The sequence below is a fragment of the Homo sapiens genome, chromosome 19, assembly GCF_000001405.40.
Source record: "Homo sapiens chromosome 19, GRCh38.p14 Primary Assembly".
In the NCBI taxonomy this organism is placed as follows: Eukaryota; Metazoa; Chordata; class Mammalia; order Primates; family Hominidae; genus Homo; species Homo sapiens.
Window position 1 is genome coordinate 53,056,015 of NC_000019.10, and position 17,870 is coordinate 53,073,884.

General features: G+C 45.2%; 1 protein-coding gene and 1 long non-coding RNA gene across 51 annotated transcripts in view; both read right to left on the reverse strand.

Annotated features, from left to right (window-relative positions):
* Positions 1-1,383: 1,383 nt before the first annotated feature.
* On the reverse strand, positions 1,384-3,206 carry LOC124904762 (uncharacterized). The gene is made up of 2 exons (XR_007067330.1): positions 2,312-3,206; positions 1,384-1,571 (listed from the first exon to the last, which is right to left on the reverse strand). It is a non-coding gene; the product is annotated as an uncharacterized LOC124904762 (long non-coding RNA).
* Positions 3,207-10,599: 7,393 nt separating this feature from the next.
* The window catches only part of ZNF160 (zinc finger protein 160), a 36,809-nt gene continuing 29,538 nt past the window's right edge, over positions 10,600-17,870 (reverse strand). For 42 of the 50 annotated variants that reach the window (NM_001322135.2, XM_047439638.1, XM_047439632.1 and 39 more), the window contains one exon: positions 10,600-14,248. In NM_001322135.2, the coding sequence (NP_001309064.1) occupies positions 12,063-14,248 (2,186 nt within the window). In that variant the 3' untranslated portion in view covers positions 10,600-12,062. Of the gene's footprint in view, positions 14,249-16,878; positions 17,496-17,870 lie in introns of those variants that run through there. The other 8 variants (NM_001322125.2, XM_047439646.1, XM_047439645.1 and 5 more) reach the window with 1 other exon arrangement.

Below are 17,870 nucleotides of genomic sequence, written 5' to 3' on the forward strand. Positions count from 1 at the left end.
TTGAGATTACAGGTGTGAGCCACTGCGCCTGGCCATTTCTGCTCTAAAACTTTTTATTCATTCATTCATTCATTCATTCATTCATTTATTTTTGAGACGGAGTTTTGCTCTTGTTGCCTAGGCTGGAGTGAAATGGCGCCATCTCGGCTCACTACAACCTCCGCCTCCCACGTTCAAGCGATTCTTCTGTCTCAGCCTCAGGTCAGGCTGATCTCGAACTCGAGACCTCAAGTGATCTGCCGCCTCAGGTCAGGCTGGTCTCGGACTCTCGACCTCACATGATCTGCCGCCTTGGCCTCCCAAAGTGCTAGGATTATAGGCATGAGACACCGCGCCCGGCCCTGCTCTAAAACTTTTTAATAAACTTTTGCTTTCATTCCTGCTCTAAAACTTGCCTCAGTCTCTCCTTCTGCCCTATGCCCCTCAGTTGAATTTTTTCTTCTGAGGAGGCAAGAATTGAGGTTGGTGCAGACCTGTACGGATAGGGATTCACCACCTGTAACAATTTCAGAAATAAGAGAAATAAAAATCAACCGATACTATTACTTTACCTGAGTAAGAGCCATCCCTGTTTCCTTTTCTTCCTCTTCTAGGCATCTTCCTTGGGTAACATGAAAAAGCCTTTACAAGTCGATCCTGAATGTCTAAAATATGCCATTTAATGACTGGAATCAACACCCTCATTTTTGTGCCTCAAACACCCATTCAGGGAAGCCCTCACTGTGGAAAGCCAGTTCTCTGGGAGTCATTGCACCAGATGGAACACAGGGACGACAGGCTCCTACAGGAAGACCAACAGGTGAGTTTTGGGCCCATTTCTTCAGAACCCGCTCCCCTCCCAGAGAAGCCCACACACACACTGCAGCCGTGGGAAGCTGGGCTGGACTGAGCTTCTCTTCAGGACACAGACCCAGCCCTGACCAAACCCCATGCAGAGCACAGCCCCCCTCACCCATCTGTGGATCACAGGCTGATTTCAGCCCTTAGAAACAAAGGGCGGAGCCTGGGTGCTCAATGCTGGACACCCATGGAATCACCTTTAAATATTATTAAGGACACGTCCCAATGTATTTGAATGAAAACTTCAGGTAAGGGGGCACCAGAGGTGTGCCTGCAAAATGCCCCAGATGCCTGCTGGACTCCCAGAGGAGAGTTGAAGAGACAATTGGACACAGGATTCCAGTGTTCAGGGGAGAGGTCTGCAGGGAACATGGAGCCGTGTAGGTGGGTTTAAAGCCATGAGATGAGATGATAAGGGCAGTGGGTGTGGGCAGAGATCAGAAGTCCGAGGGGTAAGCTGAGGGTCACTCCACATTCAGAAAACAGAGCTCAAGACATACTAGAAGAGAAAAGTGTAAAGTGATCAGGGAGGCAAGAAGAAAATTAAGAGAAATACATTTTTATTTTTTTTAATTAAAAACATTTTTGACGTGGAGTCTTGCTCTCTCGCCCAGGCTGGAGTGCAGTGGCGCGATCTCCGATGACTGCAACCTCCCTCTCTCGGGATCAAGCGATTTGCCTGCCTCACCCTCAGAGTAGCTGAGATTACAGGCGTGCAGCACCACATCCGGCTAATTTTTAGTAGAGACGGGGGTTTCACCATGTTGGGCACGCTGGTCTCGAACTCCTGACCTCAAATGATCCACCCGCCTCGGCCTCCCAAAGTGCTGGGATTACAGGCGTGAGCCACCGCGCCTGGATCCTTCTTTCGCTCTTCCCGTCTCTGCGAATCCCGACCCATCCTCTACTTTGCCATGTGTTTATGGGTTTCCTTCATTCTTTCCTCTCAGTTTTTGTAATTCACTCTCAGCCCCTCTCTGTTTCCTGATCCCTTTGGCCCACACATTCACAGGAGGGTTTGGAGTAAGACACCTGGATCCTGGAGGAGCACATTTTCCAGCGGGTGGAGCTGGGCAGGCAAGAACACCGGGTGTCACAGGACAGGCCCCGGGCACCTCCCCAACGCGGGCGCAGGGGAAGCGGTGACTGCGAAGGGGAGGCCTGGGGAGCAGCAGGGCCCGGCACGAGGAGGAGGGAGGTGGGGGGCGACGGCGCCTTAGGACAGGGTAGGGTCTGCAGGAGCCTAGGACCAGGCGGAGGACGCGGTCTGCGGCGCTGCGCTCCAGGGCCGACGACGGAGAGGCTGGGAGGCGCTCAGGACGGGAATCCACCTCGCAGGTGAGGACTTTAAAAAGCGCGGGGCGGGAGGAGGGGTCAGGAAAGGGTTTTATGCGGGAAGAAGACGCGAATGGCAGGGGACAGGGACTGGTCTCAGAGCGAGTTTTACCCACATGGCGAGGTCCGTATTTACCTCGGGTGAAGGGCGCGATGCGGGGATTTTAAGGTCAGCAGAGCGGGTGTGGAAAAGCGGGACGGCGAATCGAAGGCTTAATCTACACCTAGGCACACTCTTGCTCGGCGGTGTCACCTTCACACACCGCGATCCGCTTCCGGGACTCCAAGAAACTGCACGTGCGCGCAGAGCCCGGGTAGCCTGGGGCGGAGCCCGGGGAGAGGCGGGGTCTGCAGAGGGACCGCGGGGGCGGGGCCTGTGCAGTTGTAAGGTAAAAAGCATAGAGTTGTGTGGGCCCCTTCTGTTGGAAAGCAAAATGTTTTCTTCCCACCAAGATGAAAACGGTTTATCTCAAAACTATTTTTGCCAGCAGGTTGGACCCGATCCTGCTAGGGAGTCTCCTGCAGCTCAGCGGTCTGGGAACTGCGAATTCGGTGGGGGGAGGGGGGTCCAGGAGGAGCAGTGAGTGATTGGATCCAGGAAAGTTCCTGCAATTCAAATTAATTGGAGTAACTTACTTTAAAAGCCCTGAAATTATCTGTGAAGGGGTTGCAAACTAGACTGTGAAATGCAAAACTGCCCGGAACAAATGTGATACGTAATGCTATTGCCCAAAGGATCCTCCTTTCCATTTCTATCCCATACCTATCTCAGGGGAAGAGTCAAGTCTGTGCTTCCAGAGACTTTTATAGGACAACACCTGGACCGTGGGCTGTGGACCGTGGAAGGCTAAAACCCGCAGTAAGCCAGATCACCAACTGCTGCTTTAAAACACGCAATAACTTTTAAAAAAAAATAGATATGAATTGTATTGTTCTTCCTTATACTTGTTATTCGGTTCCACGGTTGACAAAACCTCAAATAACTTTGAGATAAACTTTTTTTTTTTTTTTTTGAGATGGAGTCTCGCTCTGTCCCCCAGGCTCCTGGAATACAATGGCGCGATCTCGGTTCACTGCAACCTCTGCCTCCCAAGCTCAAGCGATTCTCCTGCCTCAGCCTCTGGACTAGCTGGGATTACAGGCGCGTGCCACCACGCCCGGCTAATTTTTGTTTTTAGTGGAGACGGGGTTTCACTATGTTGGCCAAGCTGGTCTCAAACTCCTGACCTCAAGTGATGCGCCCACCTCGGCCTCCCAAAGTGCTGGGATGACAGGCATCAGCCAAGGAGCCCGGCCGAGATAAACTTTCTTTAAATCATACTATGCTTAAATCGATAATATCTAAACTTTTTTTTTTTTTTTTTTTTTGAGATTGAGTTTCGCTGTTGTTGCCCAGGCTGGAGTGCAATGGCGCGATCTCGGCTCACTGCAACCTCCGCCCCCCGGGTTCAAGCGATTCTCCTGCCTCAGCCTCCCGAGTAGCTGACCACCACACCTGGCTATTTTGTATTTTTAGTAGAGACAGGGTTTCTCCATGTTGGACAGGCTGGTCTGGAACCCCCAACTTCAGGTGTTCCACCCGCCTCAGCCTTCCAAAGTGCTGGGATTACAGGCGTAAGTCACTGCGCCCGGCACTTTTTTTTTTTTTTTCTTTTTAAGATTAGGAAACAGACGTCAGAAGCAGCCAAATCAGGTCTGTAAGGTGGATGCCTAATGATTTCTCATTGCAACCCACTGTTGCAAAACTGCCGTTGTTTAATTAGAGGAATGACCAGGAACATTGTCATGGTGGAGAGGGACGCTGGTGAAGTTTCCCTGGACATTTTTCTGCTAAAGCTTTGGGTAACTTTCTCAAAAATGCTCTAAAAATAAATAAGTGTTATTCTATGTCCCTCTAGAAAGTCGACAAGCAAAATGCCTTGTGCATCCCCCACCGCCAAAAAAAAAAAAAAAAAAAAAAAAAAAAACTATTGCCATGAACTTTGTTCTTCACCGCTCAGCTTATTTTAATTAATTAATTATTGAGAAAGAGTCTCACTCTGTTGCCCAGGCTGGAGTGCAGTGGCGCAATCATGGTGCACCACAACTTTTACCTCCTGGGCTTAAGTGATCCTCCTACCTCAGCCTCTCAAGTAGCTGGAACCACAGGCACACAACACCATGCCTGGCTAATTGTTTTATAATTTTTTGTAGATACAGAGTCTCCTTATGTTACCTAGGCTGGTCTTGAACTCCTAGGCTCAAGCAATCATTCTGCCTCCATCTCCCAGAATGCTGGGATTACAGGTGTGTGCCACAGAGCCAAGGTTCACTGGTCAGCCTTTTGCTTTGACTGGACTATTTCCACCTCTTGGTAACCATTGCTTTGATTGTGGTTTTTTCAGCATTGTACTGGTAAAGCCATGTTTCGTCTTCTGTTAAAATTCTCCTAAGCTACCTGGAGTTCACACAGCTGCACTATTCCTTTATTTTTTTATTATTATTATTTTTTGAGACAAAGGTTCACTCTGTTGCCCAGGCTGAAGTGCACTTGTGCAATCTCGGCTCACTGCAACCTCCACCTCTTTGGTTCAAGTGATTCTCCTGCCTCAGCGTCCCAAGTAGCTGGGATTACAGGCATGTGCCACAACGCCCGGCTAATTTTTTTTGTATTTAGTAGAGACGGGGTTTCATCATGTTGGTCAGGCTGGTCTCGAACTCCTGGCCTCAAATGATCCACCTGCCTTGGCCTCCCAAATTGCTGGGATTACAGGCATGAGCCACCTCACCCGGCCCTGTACCGTTCCATAGAAAGAGCTTGTGTATGGCCGGGTATGTTGGCTCATGCTTGTAATCCCAGCACTTCGGGAGGCCAAGGCAGATGGATTACTTGAGCTCAGGAGTTCAAGACCAGCCTGGGCAACATGATGAAACCCCATCTCTACCAAAAAAAAAAAAGAAAAAAAAAAAAAAGAGGAGGAAAAAATAAAGAGCTCATGTAGACCAGGTGCAGTGGCTCACACCTGTCCACCATTTCCCAACTGAGCTACTGCAGCTCCCTACCTCCTGGGAGCAAGCTACCTAGGAGACACTCCATCACCCCCTTCCCTGTTTTGGCTGGGCCACACCCCTGGCTACTTAAAGCCCGAAAACACAGTGCGTGAATCAACCTCGTTGGGTTTTGGACATGTAAGTTACCTGAGCTACCCACCACATATATACCTCTTCAACGTAACTCCTTGCTTGCTGTTGGACACTGGTGGGAACGGTGCATCTTATAGCCAGAGCTCTGTGTCACCCTGTAACATGAACTGCCCATTCTCACTCGGGTGCTCACAAACCTTATCGATAAAATTGGACAGGCTCAATAGAGCTCAACTATAAAATGGAACTGGCATATTCAAGATGAGGCACAGCAGAACCTCAAGGGACCAGTATACTCCATGAACAAATGGGTAGCTTACAAGAAGGGGTCAAACAGTCCTTAAAGGATCCTCTGGCTCCTCTTGTGGCTACCTGGGACCCAAGATTCACATATATGCCCACCAAGTGTATGGCATGGTTTACTGATGTCTCTGCAAAACAATAAACACACAGGGTCTACTGGGCTTCAGCCCAGTGGATGGCCATTCTTTGACCCAGTGAATGGCCATTCAGCCAGTGGATGGCCATTCTTGACTAAGACTAGACATAGACATTCTGCCTAATTAGCCAAACTGCATGCATTGGTAATGGCCCTGCAGGCCACGTCCACCACCATATCTCATCACATTTTCATGACTCATGAGCCATGCAGACTTGTGTGGAACCCTTTAATGCTGCAGGACAGCCAGGGGCTCCTTTGGTTCACCCAATCTTCGAAACTGTTGTATTAAGACCTTTGTTTCAACTTCATCAATTTCCATTTCCATTTTACTCATCCCGTTTTTTTTTTTTTTTTTTTTGAGACAGGCTCTCGCTCTCTCACCCAGGTTGGAGTGCAGTTGTCCAATCACTGCTCACTGCAGCCTCAAACTCCTGGGCTCAAGTGATCCTCCCATCCTGGCCTCCTGAGTTAGCTGGGCCCACAGAAGTTCACCACCACACCTGACTAATTTTTGTATTTTTTTGTAAAACAGGGTTTCGCCATGTTGCCCAGGCTGGTCATCCCATTTCTTAATTACCATCTAAAGATTTCCACTCTGCTGGGAGGAGAGCCATGACTCTCCCCTACCTTTCCCCGCTTAGTTTCATTTTATGAATGCTTTTTTTTTTTTTTGAGACGGAGTCTCGCTCTGTCGCCCAGACTGGAGGAGTGCAGTGGCACGATCTTGGCTCACTGCAAGCTCCCCATTCCAGGTTCAAGCCATTCTCCTGCCTCAGCCTCCAGAGTAGCTGGGATTACAGGTGTGCGCCACCACACCCAGCTAATTGTTTTGTATTTTTAGTAGAGACAGGGTTTCACTGTGTAGGCCAAGCTGGTCTCGACCTCCTGACCTCAAGGGATCCACCCGCCTCGGCCTCCCAAAGTGCTGGGATTGCAGGTGTGAGTCACCATACCCAGCCTGTGAATGCTTGCTTTATTCACCTTTTTTCTTAATGACGATTTTAAAATTTCCACCTTCATGAGGAGAAGTCCTTTGAATCTCAACTATTTTCCCCCATCCATTCTCTTCTTAATTAACTTGATACTGTTAATTGGCACTTGAAAGTTCCAACAGGAGATGTGGAGACAGCAAATTTGATAAGGCTTCCTGAGCTGTCTTTTGGTTTTGTAGAAGTAAGGTACCGTGGGATGTATACATTAAAGGAACAACCTTATTTTTCTCCCCTTCCTTGCTTGTAGTTCTCAAGAATAACTTCAGAATGTTATTCTGAAGGTAACACCCTGAAATATGAAGAAACTGGCCAAAGCAGCCGGGCTCCATTCCAGAGCCCCCTGCCCCCCTTTCAAAGAACAGGATGTCCTTCAGTGCTTTAGGGCGGCTCATCACGAGGCCATGTGCCATAAAACCTAGGGTGGGTGCTCTCTGGGGTCCCTCAGCATCAGTGCCGGTGGGACACCAGTAGATGAGACTCCATCTTCCCCAAGCAGTTTTCCTGAGCCTTGGGGGACCAGCTTGCAATGAATCAGTCCTAGGCTTCTACTGCCCCTTGTTGCCTGTCAGTAGTCAACTCACTTTATTGAACTTGTGTGCATGGGTTCTGTCTCACTGGAGTCAGACATTCGGTAACCAGTGCGAAGTGAACCTACTTCACAGGCAAGGAGAGTCTGTAATCCTCCTACGCTTGGCAGTGGGAATGCACAATGGCACACCCACTATGGAAAACAGTATGTTGGAAAACTTCCTCAATATGGTGCCTACAAAACCTTACAGCAAACATCATATATCATGGTCAAAAAGTGAAAGTTTCCTTCCCAGGGTTGGGGACAAGGCAAAGACGTACACTCTTACCACTTCTATTCCACATAGTGTTAGCAATTCTTGGCTGAGGGTAGTGGCTCATGTCTGTAATCCCAACACTTTGGGAGGCTGAGGCAGGAGGACTGATTGAGTCCAGGAATTTGAGACCAGACTGGGCAAGATGGGGAGACCCTATCTATCTCTACAAAAAAAAAAAATTGAAAATTGGCTGGTGGCTGGGCGAGGTGGCTCACGCCTGTAATTTAAGCACTTTGGAAAGCTGAGGCAGGAGGATCCCTTGAACCCAAATGTTCAAGACTGCAGTAAGGTCTGACTGCACCACTGCACTCCAGCCTGGGTAACAAAGCAAGACCCCATCTAGAAAATAATAATACTAGTAATTGAAATAAGAAAAATAATAGAGACCAAAAAGGAAGGCATAATACTGTACACGATGAGATGGTTGTGGTAAGCTAATGACCCCCACCCCCAAAGATACACACACAAAGGATTTCCGTATCAATAGCCCTATACCCTGTATTACATGGTATCTCAAATCAGAGTTTGCAGATGTGATCTGGCTGAGGATCTTGAGATGGCAGAATATCCAGGATTATCTGGTTGAAGCAACATAATCACAAGAGTCCATATAGGAAAAATACAGATGGACTTAGAATCACAGAGAATTGACAATGCTTGCATAGCAAAGAGACAAAGAGATTTTATGACACTACCTTCTGGCTGTGAAAACGGAGGGACGTAGACCATGAGGTAAAGGATCTAAGTGGCCTCTGGACCTAGCAGGGGTAAAGAAATAAACTCTCCCCTAGAGAGTCAAGAAGGATCATAGTTCTGTAAACCTGACTTCTGACCACCACACATTAACAGCATAAATTTGTGGGTTTTTTTTTTTTTTTTTTTTTGAGACAGAGTCTTGCTCTGTCGCCCAGACTAGAGTGCGGTGGCATGAACTTGGCTCACTGAAACCTCCGCCTCAAGCAATTCTCCAGCCTCAGCCTCCTGAGTAGCTGGGATTACAGGCACGCGCCACCGCACCCAGCTAATTTCTGTAGTTTTAGTAGAGATGGGGTTTCGCCATCTTGGCCAGGCTGGTCTCAAACTCCTGACCTCATGATCCACCTGCCTCGGCCTCCCAAAGTACTGGGATTACAGGCGTGAGCCACCATGCCCAGCCTAAATTTGTGTTGTTTTAAGCCACTCACTTTGTGGTAATTGTTACAGCAGCAATGGGAAATTAAGTTTATGTAGAAAACCCTAAGAAATCTAAAAAATCTGGAGAACGAGATTTTAAGGAAATAGACTACCAAATTAACATACAAAAACTACTTTATTTCTATATACTAGCAATTAATACATGGAAATTGAAAATAAAATACAATACTCCTCTGGTTTGAATATCCCCAACAAAACTCATTTGGAAACTTGATCCCCGGTGTGGCCATATTGAGAAGTGGGGCCTTTAAGAGGTCATTGGATCATGAGAGCTCTGCTGTCATGAATGAATCAATCCATGCACAGATTAATGGACTGTGTTATCATGGGAGCAGAAGTGGTGGTTTTATAGGAAGAAGAGAGACCTGAGCAAACAGCATACTCAGTGCTCTCACAATGATGTGCTACATTGCTTCAGGATGCTGCAGAGTGTCCACCAAGAAACCCTAACCAGCACTGACCAAAGGTCAAAAAATGTCTAGTAAGGAGACCTTTATTTCTTACACAGGGTTGCAGCCTGCAGGCTGGGAAGCATGGTCTCTACCAGAAACAACACAGGCAGTTCAGAGGAGGAAAGTTGCGGCAGGAATTTATACTGAATAGCAATATGTTGGATATTAAGTAAACATACTCAATAGGTTATGGGAGAGTCATGCGTGTGTGATAAGCAAACATACATGTTCCTAGTTTATCTACCAGAACAAAATAAAATTCTCATTTTCTATATTCACTCTTAAGAGGAAACTCATGAACATTAATCTTTTCAAATTATATCAATATTCCAAGAACATCATGAAGGAGGTTTTATTATTCTCCACTTTTTTTTTTTTTTTTTTTGAGATGGAGTTTTGCTCTTGTTGCCCAGGCTGGAGTGCGATGGCGTGATCTCAGCTCACTGCAGCCTCCACCACCTGGGTTCAAGCCATTCTCCTGCCTCAGCCTCCCAAGTAGCTGGGATTTACAGGCATGCACCACCACACCCAGCTAATGTTTTTGCATTTTTAGTAGAGACAGGGTTTCACCATGTTGGCCAGTCTGGTCTTGAACTCCTGACCTTAAGTAATCCACCTGCCTCAGCCTCCCAAATTGTTGGGATTACAGGCGTGAGCCACCATGCCCAGCCAACGTTTTTTTTTTTTTTGTTTTGTTTTTTGAGAACGAGTTTCGTTCCTGGTGCCCAGGCTGGAGTGTAATGGAATGATCTCCATTAATAGAACCTCTGCCTCTTGGATTCAAGCAATTCTCCTGCCTCAGCCTCCCAAGTAGCTGAGACTACAGGCATGCACCACTAAGCCCAGCTAAGTTTGTATTTTTAGTAGAGATGGGGTTTCACTATGCTGGCCAGGCTGGTCTCTCCTGACTTCAGGTGATCTGCTTGCCTTGGCCTCCCAAAGTACTGGGATTACAGGTGTGAGCCACCGTGCCTGGCCTGATTTATATTTCTCGCATTCTTACTATGTATTTTCACTTCATGGAAACCAAGATGCAAAGCATGGGTCTTATTTGGCACACAAGAAACTGATGTGGAAATATAATAATGTGGTGCATATGCATCAATGGCAATGCAGATTTTGGGGTGTAAGAATGTGAAATTAACTTTCAGTAAGATTTTCATTATACCCCAATAAGTATCCTAAGCCACAGTGTGGGGCACGTAATTCAAGCACAAAATGCGGTTATAGGTTTCCAAAACTGCGTTATTTGATTTCACCATGAAAAAAATTGTTCTTGATCGTTTAAGAGCCTAGTGGTGTACTGCTATTGTGTTATGGAGTATCCTACTGAGACAGGATAAAACTATGTTGGCAGAAAGAATGTGATTCATTCATAGAGAAAAACCATTCTATTTTATTAGTTAAAACATTATATCTATGATACATTCTGAATAAAACATTAGCAAAATGTGCTTCAAGCAGATAATGTGAGTTCTACTAAAGAATATGTTACTCTACTTCTGTTGATTAAACTCTTCACTCTGACAACTACTCTCTCTTCAGTTTTTCTTTTTCTTCTTTAGATGGAGTTTTGTTCTTGTTGCCCAGGCTGGAGTGCAGTGGCATGATCTTGGCTCACCACAACCTCCGCCTCCTGGGTTCAAGCACTCTCCTGCCTCAGCCTCCCAAGTAGCTGGGATTACAGGCACCTGCCACCACGCCCGGCTAATTTTGTATTTTTAGTACAATTGGGGTTTCTCCATGTTGGTCAGGCTGGTCTCGAACTCCCGACCTCAGGTGATCCACCTGCCTCAGCCTCCCAAAGTGCTGGGATTACAGGTGTGAGCCACCGCGCCTGGCCTCTCTCTTCAATTTCAAAACAAGATCAATTTTTCATCACTCTTTGCTAAACAACAGGTATTGCTCTTTGATGCATAAGAGGGCGACCTTTTCCCCTGCAGTATTTCTACCACACAATCAGTGTCTAATTACCTATTACTCTCCTCCCACAAAAATCCCAATGTCCTAAGGTCTTGGCCTGCTCCATTTCATGTTCAGTTGATAGACCATTTCTTTCCTCTAAGCCACAGTACTCTCCTGGTAGGAGAAAGGCACCCTGAACATTATCAGAATGGTGAGTGACATCATAGTTTTACATTGTTTTTCGCCACTCCCAAATGCTAATTCAGATGATACTTAATTTTAAAAGCAAAGTCCTCCTTCTTCACAAATTGGATAGAAATAATCCTTCACCTAATCAATGATCTTCACCCAATCAATGATCCTTCCATCCCAATGATCTTTCCAAGAAAGCACCATGGAAGGTGTGTAAGGATGCACAATAAGATTTCAAAGTTCACATTGAAACGCAATAGTAGGCTTTCCAAAAAACCTCAAATAACTCAGTGAAACATTTCATAAGGTGAAGGTAACTGACTGCCTACAAATATCCTGCAACCTTTTCGTATGTGAGTTAAAAATATATAATTTTTAGCATATTTGGACTTGTGAGTATTCTACAGTGTATAATATCAAAGGCAAACAGGGAAACCAGAGACTGTTATTCCTCCTAGGAATCCTCACTTACCATCGGTCACTGGGTAATGGCCTCAGGATGCATATTACATTTGTTTCGTTTCATCAAAGATATAAATCTTGATGCCTAGTAACCTGCGAGGCCTGGATAGACCCTCTGCCACATATGTTTACATGATGTCTCTTGCTTATGGCCTCTCATATCTATTAATGCTTCAACTCATGAGGGATTGGCCACTGTCACTACATTTGTAAGGATTCTGTCAAGAATGAAATTAACTGATGTGAAAGGAGTGAATTGTACCTAATGACCTCACCACACTCATTTGTAAGGTTTCTCTCCGGTATGCATTCTGTGATGACTTGCAAGATTTGAACTCTGCCTGAAGACCTTGCCACACTCATTACATTTGTAACGCTTTTCTCCAGTGTGGATTGCCATATGGGTAGTTAGACTTGATCTTACCCTAAAGGCTTTCCCACACTCTGTACACCTGTAAGGTTTCTCCCCAGTATGAATTCTTCGGTGATTTGCCAGGTGAGCATTTTGAGTAAAGACCTTGCCACATTCATTACATTTGTAAGGTTTTTTCCCAGTATGGATTGCCTGATGGGTGGTTAGGCTTGAACGAACACTGAAGGCTTTCCCACACTCATTGCATCGGTAAGGTTTCTCTCCGGTGTGAGTCCTTTGATGATTTGCAAGGTGTGAGTTCTGAGTGAAGACCTTGCCACATTGATTACATTTGTAAGGCTTCTCTCCAGTATGGATGACCTTATGGGTAGTTAGGTTTGAATGCATACTAAAGGCTTTCCCACACTCATTACACTTGTAAGGTTTCTCTCCAGTATGAATTCGCCGATGAGTTGCAAGGTATGAATTGTGCCTAAAAACCTTGCCGCATTCATGACATTTGTAAGGTTTCTCTCCAGTATGTATTGCCTGATGAAAAGTTAGGCTTGAACGATCACTAAAGGCTCTGCCACAGTCATTACACTTGTAAGGTTTTTCTCCAGTATGAACTCTCCAATGCCTTGCAAGTTGTGATGTTTGAGCGAAGACTTTACCACATTCATTACACTTGTAAGGTTTCTCTCCAGAATGAATTCCCCGATGACTTCTAAGGTGTGATTTTTGAGTGAAGCTCTTGCCACATTCAATACATTTGTAAGGTTTCTCTCCAGAATGGATTGCCTGATGGGTAGTCAGACTTGAACGAACACTGAAGGCTTTCCCACACTCATTACACTTGTAAGGTTTCTCTCCAGTATGAATTCTTCGATGATTTGCAAGTTGTGAATTTTGAGTGAAAACCTTGCTGCATTCATTGCATTTGAAAGGTTTTGTTCCAGTATGGATGACCTGATGGGTAGCTAGGTTTGAATGCATACTGAAGGCTTTGCCACATTCATTACACTTGTAAGGTTTCTCACCAGTATGAACTCTCCGATGCCTTCCGAGGTATGAATTGTACCTAAAGACTTTGCCACATTCATTACATTTGTAAGGTTTTTCTCCAGTGTGGATTGTCTGATGGATTGCTAGGCTTGAACGAACACTAAAGGCTTTGCCGCACTCATTGCACTTGTAAGGTTTCTCTCCAGTGTGAATTCTCCAATGACTTATAAGGTGTGAATTTTGAGTGAAGAGCTTGCCACATTCATTACATTTGAACGGTTTTTCTCCAGTATGAATTAACTGATGGGTAGTTAGGTTTGAATGTCCTCTAAAGGCTTTTCCACACTCATTACACTTGTAAGGTTTCTCTCCAGTATGAATTCGCCGATGAGTTGCAAGGTATGAATTGTGCCTGAAGACCTTGCCACACTCATGACATTTGTAAGGTTTTTCTCCAGTATGGATGACCTGATGAATAGTTAGATTTGAACGAACAGTAAAGGTTTTGCCGCACTCACTGCATTTGTAAGGCTTCTCTCCACTATGAATTCTCCTATGACTTGTAAGGTTCGAATTCTGAGTGAACGCCTTGCCACATTCATTACATTTATAAGGTTTTCCACAACTGTTTGCTTTTCGTCTTTGTGTGAGTAATGAAAAATGGTTAAGTTCATGATATTTTTTAGACCTGTGGGTTTGGACACTAGAAGGAATTTGTTGAAGTGGTGACACTGAGGAACCATTGTTGGTAGACTTCTCAACTTGATTACATTCATACATTTTCCCCTCACCTTGAAATAGCTGCAGTTCAGGCAGATGAGAATGAAAGCTTACTCCAAGCTGATTGTTCATAAGCTTGTTTTCTATGTCTCTTCTGTCGCGTTGATCTCTTTTACCTTCTTTCTGGGCCATAAGCACTCCCTTGTAATTTCCTGTGTCATCTCTCCATTGACACTCAAAATCATGCACATTTTTCTGGGGTTCCTTGAAGGAAAAGTCTTCAATGTCAGGGCTTTCGTGTCTTTCCAACACCACTGTGTGGAATACTGCTTCTGTACTGCTCTTCTCTTTTGGTAGCAAATCCTTGATTGTACATTTAGGAGGGATATCTACAAGATATAAAGAACCACATAATTTCCAATTAATTACAGTATAGAAATAAATATTTTACATTGAAAACATATTCCACCAAAAGTAATACTTATATTGAACAGACTTTGGAACTTCAGAACTGTGAATTTCAATTGTTAGGAACAAAAATGTTTTTTTTTTTTTGAGACGGAGTCTCGCTCTGTCGCCCAGGCTGGAGTGCAGTGGTGTGATCTTGGCTCACTGCAAGCTCTGCCTCCCGGGTTCACACCATTCTCCCGCCTCAGCCTCCTGAGTAGCTGGGACTACAGGCGCCCGCCACCACGCCTGGCTAATTTTGTTTTTGTATTTTTAGTAGAGACGGGGTTTCACCATGTTAGCCAGGATGGTCTCGATCTCTTGACCTCATGAGCCGCCTGCCTCGGCCTCCCAAAGTGCTGGAATTACAGGCGTGAGTCACTGTGCCCAGCCAAAAGTAGTATTTTTTAACAAAGAAAATGCAGTTACATGTAATTCAAATATTTGGGAAGGGCTGGCTGTTGTGGCTCATGCCTGTAATCCCAATGCTTTGGGAGCCTAAGGTGGGAGGATCACAGGAGGCCACGAGGTTGAGACCAGCCTGGGCAACACAGCAAGACTCCATCTCTACAAAAACAAAATAATTTAAAAATTAGGCCAGGTGTGGTGGCTTATGCCTGTAATCCCAGCACTTTGGGAGGCTAAGGTGGGTGGATCATGAGGTCAGGAGATTGAGTCCAGCTTGGCCAACATGGTGAAACCCCATCTCTACTAAAAATACAAAAATTAGTCAGGCGTGGTGGCATGCGCCTATAGTCCCAGCTTCTCAGGAGGCTGAGGCAGGAGAATTGCTTGAACCTGGGAGGCAGAGGTTGCAGTGAGCCGAGATCGTGCCACTGCACTCCAACCTGGGCGACAAAGCAAGACTCCGTCAAAAAATAAAAATAAAAAAATTAGTTTGGCATGCTGGCATGTGCCTGCAATTCTGGATACTCAAGAGGCTGAGGGTGCTGGGTGCGGTGGCTCACACCTGTAATCCCAACACTTTGGGAGGCCGAGGCGGGTGGATCACCTGAGGTCAGGAGTTCGAGACCAGCCTGGTCAACATGGCAAAACTCTGTCTCTGCTAAAAATATAAAAAATTGGCTGGGTGTGGTAATGGGCACCTGTAATCCCAGCAACTTGGGAAGCTGAGGAAGGAGAATTGCTTGAACTCAGGAGGTGAGGTTGCGCCACTGCACTCCAGCCTGGGGCAACAAGAGCAAAACTCCGTCTCATCAAAAAAAAAAAAAAAAAAAAGGCTGAGGCATGAGGATTGCCTTAGCCCAAGAGTTCAAGGTTACAGTGAGCTATGATTGTACCACTGCACTACAGCCTTAGAGACAGTGAGATGTCTTAAAAAATAAAAAAATAAAAAAAAAATCGGGCAGCCTAGATTCAAACTACCTATGACCAAAACACTCACGTTGTGAATCCTATGTTAGCCATCAGAGGATTATTTTTCCACGCTGACCTCACGGCACATACCAATTGGCCAAAAACATATGGCTATCTCAATTGAAGAAAAATAAGTTATACACATTTAAAGCATATTCATTATGTACAAATACATACTAAAGTACAACATAATATATTATAATGGCAAAGAGCTCACAGGAAACATAATTAAGAAGCGGGAATTTTGAACTGCAAAACCATCATAGCACTAGGAAAATGAACATTCAATAAAACTATGTCAGAAAAAAATGTGTTGAAATACTTGTTATATAACTATCTATATCCACACAGAGCAGATAATTTTGCAGCATTAGTAAGTGGTACATGACAGTTATATTTCTTTCTTTCTTTTTTTTTTTTTTTAGACAGAGTCTTGCTCTGCTCCCCAGGCTGGAGTGTAGTGCTGCGATCTTGGCTTGCTGCAACCCCCGCCTCCAGGGTTCAAGTGATTCTCCTGCCTCAGTCTCCCGAATAGCTGGGACTGCAGGCATGTGCCATCATGCCTGGCTAATTTTTGTATTTTTAGTAAAGACAGGATTTCACCATGTTGGTCGGGCCGGTCTCGAACTCCTGACCTTGTTATCTGCCTGCCTCTGCCTCCCCAAGTGCTGGGATTATAGGCGTGAGCCTCTATACCTGGCCTGACAGTTATATTTCACAATACCTGCTGAAAACCATAATGTATTCATTTTATGAAAATCAACTAATAAGATATTCTAGCAGCCTATGATAAAATGAATTGAGAGGAATAACTGCATATATAAAATGTTCTTGTTTAAGGCCATGTGTGGAAACTTAAAAAAAAAATTATTGGCCAGGTGCAGTGGCTCATGTCTGTAATCCCAGCACTTTGGGAGGCTGCAGCAGGTGGATCACCTGAAGTCGAGAGTTCGAGACCAGCCTGACCAACATGGAGAAACCCGATCTCTACTAAAAATACACAATTAACCAGGCATGGTGGCGCATGCCTGTAATCCCAGCTACTCGGGAGGCTGAGACAGGAGAATCTCTCGAACCCAGGAGGCAGAAGTTGCGGTGAGCCGAGATCGCACCATTGCACTCCAGCCTGGGCAACAAGAGCGAAACTTCATTTAAAAAAAAAATTATTGTCCGTGGAATAATAAACAGTTTTGTCTTAAGAGAAAGAAGCATTTTTATTTAGAACCAACACAATAAGAACTGGAATATGATTTTTAAAAAAATTCTATATTGACAAATTATAGTTATATATATTTACAGGAAACAAACTGATATTCTGTTATAGGTATACAATATGGACTGATGGAAACAAGCCTATTACCATATAAGTCATCTCAAAAACCTATCATTTACTCCTAATGTTTTCACCCAGTGACCAACATCTCCCTATTCCCTCCAGTCCCCAACCTGTGGTAACCCACATTCTACTCTTTGCTGCTATTAGTTTTATTGGTTTAGATTCCAAATGTAAGTGACAACATGCAGTACTTGTATTTCTGTGCTGAAGCCTGGAAAAACAGAATACGCACCCCATGTAAGACTGAGGATCAATGACAGAAGGATTTTGTTAGGTGTCTTTACGGTTATGCTGAGAACAATCTTAGAAGATAGAACCCACTCGCTTATCACACACCCCCATGAAAGTGGCAAAAGCAGAATGGAAGAAATGGCCGAGGGACCTCGACAGGCGGAGACGGCTGGAGACTCTTCCATGAGGTTTGGGGCAGCAGATGCCAAGGAGCAGCAGCCAATGTTTCCATCTCCTGAGCAGGTCTTCCACGCACAGGAAATGGGGTGGAACATAAACAGGTCTAGACGTCAGGACTAAGGACTATGGAGGCTTCCCCTCTGACCCATATGGACTAAGAACTGAGCACCATATGGAATTAAATACAGAGGGAGAGACCAAGAAAGAAAGCAGTTTCTTCAGAAGGAACCATAGAGTTCAAATGACAGGGTGTTGTCCATCATGATAAAGACTTTGCCTCTATCTCTAAGGCAACTTATTTTCCCAAAGAACTCTCTCATCTGCAGAGAGTTTCCCACTTTATTTATTTATTTATTTTGAGACGGAGTTTTGTTCTGTCCACCCAGGCTGGAGTGCAGTGGCATGATCTTGGCTCACTGCAACCTCCACCTCCCGGGTTC